Source organism: Homo sapiens, chromosome X (genome assembly GCF_000001405.40).
Source record: "Homo sapiens chromosome X, GRCh38.p14 Primary Assembly".
Taxonomy (NCBI): domain Eukaryota; kingdom Metazoa; phylum Chordata; class Mammalia; order Primates; family Hominidae; genus Homo; species Homo sapiens.
In genome coordinates this window covers 84,035,509-84,047,915 of record NC_000023.11, presented here as the reverse complement: position 1 = coordinate 84,047,915, position 12,407 = coordinate 84,035,509, and the positions used below count along the sequence as shown (strand labels likewise).

General features: G+C 39.7%; 2 annotated features.

Moving 5' to 3' along the window:
- Positions 967-1,533: an enhancer, noted in NCBI's record as "OCT4-NANOG hESC enhancer chrX:83301391-83301957 (GRCh37/hg19 assembly coordinates)". NCBI's record gives its function as "activates a minimal SCP1, AML or CMV promoter by ChIP-STARR-seq in naive H9 embryonic stem cells {active_cell/tissue: H9 hESC(naive)}" and the evidence as "EXISTENCE:reporter gene assay evidence [ECO:0000049][PMID:30033119]".
- Positions 3,444-3,944: an enhancer, noted in NCBI's record as "H3K27ac hESC enhancer chrX:83298980-83299480 (GRCh37/hg19 assembly coordinates)". NCBI's record gives its function as "activates a minimal SCP1, AML or CMV promoter by ChIP-STARR-seq in naive H9 embryonic stem cells {active_cell/tissue: H9 hESC(naive)}" and the evidence as "EXISTENCE:reporter gene assay evidence [ECO:0000049][PMID:30033119]".

The following is a 12,407-nucleotide window of genomic DNA, read 5'->3' as shown; positions in this document are numbered from 1 at the left end:
GGATTGATATGGAGCCAGGCGAGATTCCCTGACATTGAGAAGGGGTGCTCACACTCAGTGCTCCACACTTTTGCCATGAAGTTTTATAATCATAATTACCGGAGAGCTTTTTGACTCCCACAGGCCTCCAGATAAACATGGGAAGCTGCCTGTAAGTTGCACATAGTAATTGTTTGAATTCACTTAGAGTCCTATAACTCTTAAGCCCTGAACAGCTGCTGCCCAGCACCACCCTGACAGTCCCATCTGCCTGTGTTCTGCCCTGGGGCTGCTGCTGACACTGCCACTGCTGTCACCAGTGGGCTTGGAGGGGAGTGGGGAGACCAGGCACCTTCACACACACACCAGGGACAGATACTGTCACCACTGCGGCCAGACAGAGGTGTGAGCAAGTCATGCCTCTGCACAGCTGCCTGCCTGTATAGCTCTGAGTGAGAGGGGTCTGCCTTCCCTGGTGGTGAGCCTGCAGTGCAGCTACTCTTCTCCTGCCTGAGCATTCTACTGGTATCTTGGCAACCAGTCCACCTGTCCCTATTACAATCAGCACGTGAAGAAAAGTCTACTAGTCCAGTCCCTGATCTAGTCCCTCTGGGACAGAACATACTATTTGGGGGCCTGGAGACTGAGGGATTGCCTAGACCACTTTATCACCACTGGCACCTGATCACTCCCCCAAACATCTGAGGTCAGACTGACCCAAACAGCCAACACCATCACAGCTGGCACCAACCCGCATGTGCCAAAATGTACAGCCTTTTTCTGTCTCTACACAAAGCAGCAGTGTTCCTGCATTGGAGAAAAGGTGACCCACAAAGATATTTGTATTATGCTTAGGAAAGAGGATTCTCCCTGAAGCCATTTCCATGAAGAACTGTGAGACAATCATTTTCTGTGGCTATTAGCTGCATTGTGGCCTAGAGATAGACTACAGTGTCTGACTGAATTAAGAGTCATGATTCCTGGGACAGAGGTAGGATAGAAAAACAGATCTTATCCCTTCTTCCCTTGGATGTTAAGCTGGTGCCCACCCTCCCACTGTGTGGAGACCTTGGTACATTTCAAAAAGAACTTCCACTGCCACCCCCATCAGGGTTGGTGCCTACGCTGCTTGTCATTGGCGTATTTGTGGGCAAGCATGGTAGTCCAGCTCTATCTTTGTCTCTCAAGCCCATCCTGAGGTGTGAGGGGACAAGAACTCAGGGCACCAGAGCATTCCACAGACCCGCCCAGCACCCATCACCTGAAACAACAGCGCACCTCCCAATAAACAAAGATCAAACACATACCCATCTGTTTCAGCTGCAGGTGGCGTTTACCATGGGCGCCACCTACTGGCCTACAAATTAAACTGCACAACCCAATACAAAACCTGCTGACACAAGCACACAGTACTAAGGAAAGAAAGAAGCTTTCTGAGACCTCCACAATCCTGGTACTTCAGAAGTCAGCGTGCCTGCTCATATGCCCAGTAAATCACTAGTACATGAAACATTTGAGAAAGCCACTCCACAACACCTATCTATAATGAGTGAAGCCAAATGACCATGCACAACAAACATTATAGTCACATATTCCAGGGAAATGAAAGTAAATTAAAAAATAAGAAGAGACAGCTTTTACAGTGAGAAGGAACCAGTGTAAGAACTCTGGCAGTATGAAAAAACATAGTGTTATGATCCCCACAAAGCATCACCACCTCTCTAGCAATAGATCTAATCAAAATGAGAATTCTGAAATAAGAGATAAAGAATTCAAAATATGGATTGGAAGGAAACTCAGTGAGATCCAAGAGAAAGTTAAAAACCAACACAAAGAAATCAGAATAACAATTCAGAATATGAAAGAAGACATAAATATTTTTAAATGAAAACAGAATTTATAGAAACAAAAAAATTTTGAAGAAATTATAAAACACATGTTAAAGCTTTAAAAATATGCTAGACTAAACAGATGAAGGAATTTCAGAGCTGGAAGACAGGTGTTTTGAATTAACCCAGTCAGATAAAAATAAAGAAAAACAATTTTTAAAAATGAACAAAGCATTTGTGAAATACGGGATTATGCAAAGTATCCAAAGTATGATTTACAGGTATTCCATAGGGAGAAAAAAATAAAAAGTATAAAAAACCTATTGAAGGAAATAATTCAAGAAAATTTCCCTGGTCTTGCCAGAGTTTTAGAATTCCAGATGCAAGAAGCTCAGAGAACACCTGAACTCCTGGAAGATATATTGCAAGAAGAACCTCATCAAGGTATATTGCCTTCATTCTACCCAAAATCAATGTGAAGGAAAAAAAAATCCAAAAGCAGCAAGAAAGAAGTGTCTAATCACCAATGAAGGAAGTCTTATCAGACTGACAGTGGATTTCTCAGCAAAAACCTAAAAGAAAAACAGAAGAGACTGGGTTTCTACTTCCAGCGTTCTAAAAGAAAAAATTTCAGCCAAGAATATTGTTTCAGCTAAACTAAGCTTTATAAATAAAAGAGAAATAAAACCTTTTCCACTTAAGCAAACACTAAAGGAGTTCATTACAACTAGACCAGTCTTACAAGAAATGCTCAAGGGACTTCTAAACATTGTAGTGAAAGGTCACTACCCACAATCATCAAAACATACAAAAGTTTAAAACTAACAGATATTATAAAACAATTACACAATTGAGACTACAAAGGAACAAGGTAAAAATTAACATTAAGACAGGAACAAAACCTCACATTTCAATATTAACTTTGAATGTAAGTGTGTTAAATGCTCCACTGAAAAGCACAGATTGATGAAATGGATTTAAAAAAAAAACAAAAAAACAGAATCCAAGTATATACTGCTTATAAAAAACTCAGCTAACTGGTAAAGACACTGCAGACACAAATTTAAAGGGTCAAAAATATATTCCACACAAATAGAAACAAAAAGCAAGAAGAAGTAGCTATGCTTATATTTGATAAAACAGACGTTAAATCAACAAAAGTTAAAAAAATGGTTTTTATCATTCGGATATTTGTCCCCTCCAAATGTCACATTGTAATGTAGTCCTGGAGCTTCTGCAGATAATGGCAGACAGGAGGTAGGACTAGATTGCAGCTCCAGATAGAGCAGCATTGCAAAGGCTTGCACTGTGAATTTTAGCTCCAGATCGACTGCAAGAACAAACCAGCAATCCTGAGAGTAACCACAGACCCTCTGAAGGCAGCAGACTGCTCCTGCAGGACCCAGGAGACATCTCAAATACTGATAGTGCCCCAGCTGTGGAAGTGGGAATGGGAGACCCCCGTTTTTTGAACACACACCCCCACTAGAGAAGCTGAAGTTCTGTTTGGAGAAGTTCTTGACGTTACCTGGAGCTGAGTCAAGTTAGAGAGCCCAGCCTAGCGAAATACAGGGGTGGAGGAGGCAGCAGTGAGTCCCTGGGAGCTCACTGAATCCAGGCAGCACATTATTGCTTGGCATCACAGGGATCCATCAGGAGGGAGGCCAGAGGAGCAGGCAATAAAACCTCACCAGTGAGAAGGACTTCCTTAGCTCAACTTTGTAACAATTGGAGTGGGGCGAGAAGCCTCCTGGCCAGACCTTGGGAAAGGGTGCGAATTCTGCTTGCAGACTTCACAGGCGGGGTAAGAACTAAAGTCCTTTTCTTTCACAGCTGGGGGCAGAAAGCCTCCGGCAAGTTTTCAAGCCCAACCTCCACCTGGAAACAGACTCAGGGCTGTTGTGGGTGACATGGTGTTAGTAAGACCAGCCCTTCAGTTTGTGTGGGAGCTGGGTAAGGCCTATGATTGCTGGCTTTTCCCCATTTCCCTGACAACCTGCATGACTCAGCAGAGGCATTCATAATCCTCCTAGGTACACAACTACAGTGACCTGGGAATCTCACCCCATCCCCAACAGCAGCTGCAGCAAAACCCACCCAAAGAGAGTCTGAGCTCAGACACACGTAACCCCATCCCCACCTGATGGTCTTTCCCTACCCACCCTGCTAGTGGAAGACAAAGGACATACAATCTTGGGAGATCTAGGGCCCCACCCACTGCCAGTCTCTCTCCACACTACTACAGTTGATGCTTTCTGGAAAGTGCCACCTCCTGGCAGGAGGTCAATCAGCACAAAAATAGAGCATCAAACCACCAAAGCTAAAAACCCTCATGGAGTCCATTGCACCCTCTGCCACCTCCACCAGAACAGGCACTGGTATCCATGACTGAGAGACCCATACATGGTTCACATCACAGGACTTTGTGTAGAAACCCCCAGCACCAGCCAGGAGCTGGGTAGACTCACTGGGTGGCTAAATCCAGAAGAGAGACAACAATCACTGCAGTTCAGCTCACAGGAAGCCACAACCACAGGAAAAGGGGGCAAGTACTACATCAAGGGAACACCCTGTGGGACAAAAAAAAAAAAAAAACCTGAACAGCAGCCTTCAGCCCTAGATCTTCCCTTTGACAGAACCTACCCAAATGGGAAGGAACCAGAAAAGCATCCCTGGTAATATGACAAAACAAGGCTCAAAAACACCCCCCAAAAATCACACTAGTTCACCAACAATGGATCCAAACCAAGAAGAAATTCCTGACTTGCCTGAAAAAGTATTCAGGAGGTTAGTTATTAAGCTAATAAGGGAGGGACCAGAGAAAGGTGAAGCCCAATGCAAGGAAATCCAAAAAAAGATACAAGAAATAAAGGAAAAAATTATTCAACAAAATAGATAGCTTAAATAAAAAAAATCAAAAATTCAGGAAGCTCCTTTATAAATTACCCAACCACTGGTATTCTTTTACAGCAATGTAAAATGAACTAAGACACAGGTCATTATATAAAGAGATTGATTCAACTCTTCTTATATAACAAGATTATATAGCAAGCTACTAAAAAACCAGAGCACCCAGACTCATTAAAAACATTCTACTAGACCTCAGAAAACAGATTGATAGTAATATAAAAATAGTGGGAGACTTCAAACCACACTGACCACACTGACAGCAATAGACAGATAATTGAGGCAGAATATCAACAGAGAAACACTGGACTTTAATTGGACTCTAGAAGATACGGGCCTAGCCACAATAAGTCTCAATAAATTTTATTTTAAAAATTGAAATGATACTGTGAATCCTCTTGGACCATAATGGAATATAACTAGAAATAAATTCCAAGAGGAACTCTCAAAAATATACAAATACATGAAAATTTAACAACCTTCTCATGAATAATCATTGAGTCAACAATGAAATTAAGGCGGATATAATTTTTTTTTTAGAAAGGAACACAAATAAGAATACAACATGCCAAAACCTCTGGGATCAACAAAAGCAGTGCTAAGAGGAAATAATATAGCAATAAATGCATGCATTTAAAAGATAGAAATGACTCAAATTAACAACCTAATGCTGCACCTCAAGAAAATAGAAAAAGAAGAACAAACCACACCCACAGCTAGCAGAAGAAAAGAAATAACAAAGACTAGAGTGGAATTAAATGAAATTAAGACAAAAAAAGGGTCAACAAAATGAAAAGTTGGTTCTGTGAAAAAATAAAAGAAAAGACTGCCACCTAGATTAACCAAAAAAGAGAAGATTCAAATAAGCACAATCAGAAATGATAAGGTGACATTAGAGCTGACAACACAGAAGTACTAAAGATCATCAGAGGCTACTATGAACAACTATACATTCATAAACTAGAAAAACTAGAGTGAAAGGATAGATTCCTGGAAGCATACAACCTCCCAAGATTGAACCAGAAATAGAAATAATGAACAGACCAATAATGAGTAGTAAAATTGAATCAGTAATTAAAAAAAAAAACCTCCCAAGAAAAAAATGTCCAGGACCAGACACATTGATAGCTGCTTTCTACCAAATGTACAAGGAAGAACTGATACCAATCCTGAAACTGTTCTAACAAATCAAGGAGGTAATGCTTTGTAACTCAGTCTATGAAATTAGCATAATCCCTATAACAAAGCCATGCAAGGACAAGAAAAAAAGGAAAACTATAGGCCAAACTTTCTGATGAACACAGATGCGAAATATTAACAAACCAAATTCAATAGCACATTAAAATAATGCAATATGATCAAGTGGATTTTATCTCAGGAATGGGAGAACGGTTCAATATTCACAAACCAATAAATGTGATTCACCACATAAATATAATTAAATTTAAAAAGCATATAATCAACTCAATAGATGCAGAAAAACACTTGATTAAGCCAAGCATCCCATCATGAATGAAACCCTCCACAAACTAGGGATGAAAGGAACATACTTCAAATTAATAAAAGCCATATATGAAAAACGAGAGCTAGCATCATACTGATTGGAGAAACTGTGAAATCCTTCCCTCTAAGAACTAGAACAAGGCAAAGATGCCTACCTTCAGCTCTCCTATTCAACATAGTACCAGAAGTCCTAGCTGGAGCAATTAGGCAAGACAAAGAAATAAAGGGCATTCAGATAGAAGAAAAAGTCAAATTATCTCTTCTCACTGAAAACATAATTGTATTCCTAAAAAACCATAAAGACTCCTATAGAAGACTCTGAGATTTGATTAGCAACTTCAGTAAAGTCTCAGGATACAAAATAAATGTACAAAAATTGGTAGCATTTCTATACACCAATAACATTCAAGCAAATAACAAAATTAAGAACTCAGTCCCATTTATAATAGCTACCAAAAAATACCTAGAAATATAACAAAAAATATAAAAGGTATCTACAAGGATAACTACAAAATACTGATTAAAAAAATCATAGATGGCATGGTTTTGGTCTGTGTCCCCACCCAAATCTCATGTCGAATTGTAATCCCCAATGTTGGTGGTAGGACCTGGTGGGAGGTGATTGGTTCTCATAATATTGAGTGAGTGCTCATGAGATCTGGTTGTATAAAAAGTGTGTGGCACCTCTCTCCTCTCTCTTTTTCTCCTGCTCCAGCAATGTAAGACATGCTTGCTTTCCTTCAAGTTCTGTCATAATTGAAATCTTCCTGAATCCTCCCCAGCCATGCCTCCTGTATAGCCTGTGGAACTATGAGCCAATTAAACCTCTTTTCTTCATAAATTACCCAGTCTCAGGTATTTCTTTTTAGCAGTGCAAGAACAGACTAATGCAGAAAATTGGTACCAGGAGTGGGGCATTGTTGTAAAGATATCTGGAAATGTGGAAGCAGCTTTGAAACTGGGTAATGGGCAGAGGTTGGAAGAGTTTGGAAGGCTCAGAAAAAGACAGGATGATGAGGAAAAATTTGGAACTTCCAAGAGACTTGTTATGACCAAAATGCTGGTAGTGATATGGACAGTAAAGGCCAGACTGATGAGGTCTGAGATGGAAATGAGGAACTTATTGGGAACTGGAGAAAAGATTACTTTTGTTATATGTTAGAAAATAAGTTGGCTTCATTGTGCCCCTGCTCTAGGGATCTTTGGAAATTTGAAGTTGAGAGTGATGATTTAGGTTATCTGGCAGAAGAAATTTCTAAGCAGCAACACTCAAGATGTGGCTTGCCAGTTTTTAGCAACCTATGCTCATATTCATGAGCAAATAAGTGAGATAAAACTAAAAATTATATTTAAAAAGGAAGTGCAGTGCAAAAGTTTGTAAACTTTACAGCCCAGCCATGTTGTAGAAAGGAAAAACTCATTTTCAGGGAGGAATTCAAGCAGGCTGTGGAAATTTGCATAACTAAATGGAAGGCAAATGATGATAGCCAAGACAATGGAGAAAAAACCTTGAAAGCATTTCAGAGACCAGGGTAGGAACCCCTCCCATAACAGGCCAAGAGGCCTAGGAGGACAGTATGGTTTCATGTGCTGGGACCAGGGCCCCACTGCCTTGTGCAGCCTTGGGACAGTGCTCCCCACATCCCAAGCAATTGAGCTTCAACTGTGGCTGAAAGGGGCCAAGGTACAGCTGAAGCCGCTGCTTTGGAGGGTGCAAGTCATAAGCCTTGGAAGCTTCCATGTAGCGTTAAGCCTGCAGGTGCACAGAGTGCAAGAGTTGAGGCTTGGGAGCCTCTGTCAAGATTTCAGAAGATGTACAGAAAAGCCTGGATGTCCAAACAGAAGCCTGATGCAGGGGTGGAGCCCTCATGGAGAACCTCCTCCATGGCAATGCACAGAGAAGATGTGATATTGGAGCCCCCACACAGTCCCCACTGAGGCACTTCCTAGTGAGGGTGGGAGAGGAGGGCCACCATACTCCAGACCCCAGAATGGTAAATACACCAGCAGGTTGAACCCTGCACTTAGAGGAGCCATAGACACTAAATGCCTGCCCATGATAGCAGCTGTGGGGACTGAACCTTATGAAGTCACAGGAGCAGAACAACCCAAGACTTTTGGAGGCCACCCCTTGCATCAATGTGCCCTGGATGACAGACATGGAGTCAAAGGAATTGTTCTGGAGCTGTGAGGTTTAATGATTGAACTGCTGGTTTTCAGACTTGCATAGGGCTTGTTGCACCCTTCTTTTGGCCATTTTTCCCCTTTGGAATGGGAGTATTTACACAATGGCTATACACCCATTGTATCTTGGGAGTAACAAACTGTTTTTGATTTTATAGGTTCATAGGTGGCGGGGACTAGCCTTATCTCAGATGAGATTTTGGACTGAGGAATTTTGAGTTAGTGTTGGAATGAGTTAAGACTTTGGGGGACTGTTGAGAAGGGATGATTTTATTTTGCAATGTAAGAAGGACATGAGATTTAGGAGAGGAGAGGGACAGAATGATATGGTTTGTATCTGTGTCCCCACACAAATCTCATGTTGAATTGTAATCCCCAATGTTGGAGGTAAGGCCTGGTGGGAGGTAATTGGATAATTGAAGTGGATTTCCCCCTTAGTGCTGCTCTCATGACAGTGAGTGAGTGCTGAAGAGATCTGGTTGTTTAAAAAGTGTGGCACCTTTCCCACTCAATCTTCCTCCTGTTCTGGTCATGTAAGGCATGCCTGTTTTCCCTTCATCTTCTGCCATGAGTGAAAGATTCCTGAGGCCTCTCCAGCCATGCTTCCTGTACAGCCTGTGAAAGCATGAACCCATTAAGCCTATTCTCTTCATAAATTACCCAGTCTCAGGTATTTCCTTATAGCAGTGCAAGGATGGTCTAAAAACAATAGATGGCACAAACAAATGAAAAAACATTAAATGCTCATGGATTGGAAGAATCAATACTTCTGAAATATCCATACTGCCCAAAGTATTCTACAGATTCAATGCAATTCCTATCAAACTACCATGTGATTTTTCTCAAAATTATAAAATGATTCTAAAATTTATATGGAACCAAAAAAGAGCCTGAAGAGCCAAAGAAAATCCTAAGCCAAAAGAACAAAGCTGGAGGCATCACATTAGCTGAATTCAAATTATAGTACAAGGCTACATAATCACTAAAACATTATGGTACTGGTATAAAAGTGGACACATAGACCCATGGAACAGAATAGAGAACCCAGAAATAAAGCTACATGCTTACAACCAACTGACATTTGATGAAGTAAAGAAAAATATACACTGGGGAAATGATATCCTATTCAGTTAATGGTGATGGAAAAATTAAAATAATAAAACTGGACCCCTATCGCTCACCATATAAAAAACTAACTAAACATTTATTAAATACTTAAATGTATGACCTGAAACTATAAATATACTAGAAGAAAATCTTGGAAAAACTCTTCTGAACATTGGCCTATGCAAATAATTTATGACCAAAAGGGAAATTTATGTCCTCAAAAGGAAATGCAATGAAACCAAAAAATAGACTAATAATGGGACTTAATTAAACTAAAACTTTCTGCACAGAAAAAGAAGTAAGCAAATAATTTATGACTAAGTCCTTAAAATGAAATGCAACAAAACAAAAAATAGACAAATAAGACTTAAACTACAAATCTTCTACACTGCACAAGAAATAATATCTTACACAATGAAAAAAATTGCAAACAATTCATCAACGAAGGGCTAATCTCCAGAATCAACAAGGAACAAAAACAAAGCAACAAGCAAATGAGCAAATATTTTATTACAAAGTGGGCCAAAGACACAAACAGACATTTTTCAAAAGAACAAATACAACTGGCCAACAAACATATAAAAAATGCTCAGCATCACTAATCATCAGAGAAATGCAAATTAAACCCACAATGATATACTATTTTACATCAGTCAGTATGGCCATTATTAAAAAGTCAAAAAACATGTTGGTGAGGATGCAAAGAAAAAGGAACACTTAAACACTTGTTAGTGGGAATTTAAATTAGTACAACTTTTTTGAAAATCAGTATGGTGATTTCTCAAATAACTAAAAATATAACCACTATTCAATTCAGCAATGCCACTACTGGATAACTACCCAAAGGGAAAGAAATTATATCAAGAAGACATCTGCACTTAAATGTTTATTGCAGCACTGTTTATAATATCAAAGTCATGGAATCAATCTAAGTGTCCGTCAATGGATAATTGGATAAAGAAAATGTGGTACGTACACACAATGGAATACTATTCAGTCATAAAAAATAATGAAATCATGTGTTTTGCAGCAACATGGATAGAGCTGAAGGCCATTATTCTAAGTGAAACAGCTTAGAAATGGAAAGTCAAAAACCATGTGTTCTCACTTATTAGTGGGAGCTAAACAATGGGTACATATGGACATATAGAGTGGACCATTAGCCATTGGAGATTCCAAAAGGCAGTAGTGTGGAAAGGGGTGAAGGATGAAATATTACCTATTGGGTACAATGTATACTGCTCAGATGGTGGGTACACTAAAAGCCCAGACTTCACCACTATGCAATATAGCCATGTAACACAACTGCATTTTTACCCTTAAATCTATTTTTAAAAATCACAATGACATATTATTACACATACCTATGAGAACAGGTACAATAAGAAGGTGTTATGCAGAGAAGCTGGAATGGTCATACATTGCTGGTAAGAATTTAAAAAGATATAGGAACTCTTAAGAACAATTTGACAGTTTCTTAAAACAACTAAACATGCAACTACCATGTGACCCAGCAATTTCACTCCCGGAGATTTATCCCAGAAAACTTATATTCACATAACAATTTGCATGCAAACGTTAGTAGCAGCTTTATTCATAATGGCCCCAAAATGCAGACAATCCAGATGTTCTTCAATGCATACACTGTTGTAAACAAATATCCATACCACAGAATACTACCCAGCAATTTAAAAAAGAAAATGAAATGATATGTACAACTTGGATGAACTTCCAGATAATTATGTTGGGTGAATAAAACCAATTCTAAAATGTTACATAGTCTATAATTTAATTCCATTTATATAACATTCTTTTTTATGTATGTATTTATTTATTTATTTTGAGATGGAGTCTCGCTCTGTCGCCCAGGCTGGAGTGCAGTGGTGCGATCTCGGCTAACTGCAACCTCTGCCTCCCAGATTCAAGCAATTCTCCTGCCTCAGCCTCCCTAGTAGCTGGGACTACAGGTGTGCACCACCACGCCCAGCTAATTTTTGTATTTTTAGTAGAGACAAGGTTTGACCATGTTGGCCAGGCTGTTCTAGAACTCCTGACCTCAGGTAATCCACCTGCCTCAGCTTCTCGAAGTGCTGGAATTACAGGTGCAAGCCACCATGCCCAGCCCATTTATATAGCATTCTTGAAATGAGAAAATTATAGAGATGGGGAATATATCAGTTGTTTCCAGGGATTAGAGATGATACTGGCAGTAGGCAAGAGAGATGTGACTGTGGCTATAAAAGACCAACATGGGAGGCCAGGTGCAGTGACTCATGCCTGTAATCCAAGCACTTCAGGAGGCCAATGCAGGCAGATCACTTGAAATCAGGAGTTCAAGACCAGCCTGGCCAACATGATGAAACCCTGTCTCTACTAAAAATACAAAAATTAGCTGGGCGTGGTGGCATGCACCTGTAATCTCAGCTACTAGGGAGGCTGTGACATGAGAATCACAGAGGCAGAGGTTGCAGTGAGCAAAGACAGCACCACTGCACTCCAACCTAGGGGACAGAGTGACACTTAAACTGGTATGGTAATTTAAGTGTTCTCTATCTTGACTTTATCAATATCAATTTCTTGGTTGTGATATTGTACCATAATTTTGCAAGATGTTACTATTCAGGGAAAGTGATAAAGGATACATAAGATTTCTCCATATTATTTTGTACAACTGCATGTGAAACTACAATAACTTCAAAATAAAAAGTTTAATTAAAAATTTGCCTTACAAGTGCTATAGAGCTGTACATGTTATAAAATCAGAATCAGAAATTACTTTAAGAAGTGGCATAATTTTTGGAGAGTTCATACTGGATAAGCTTTCCATTGAGAACTTTCTCATCAAATTTTACTGAACTAGTTGGTAGCAATAAACAAAACAGATTAAAAACTGCTAGT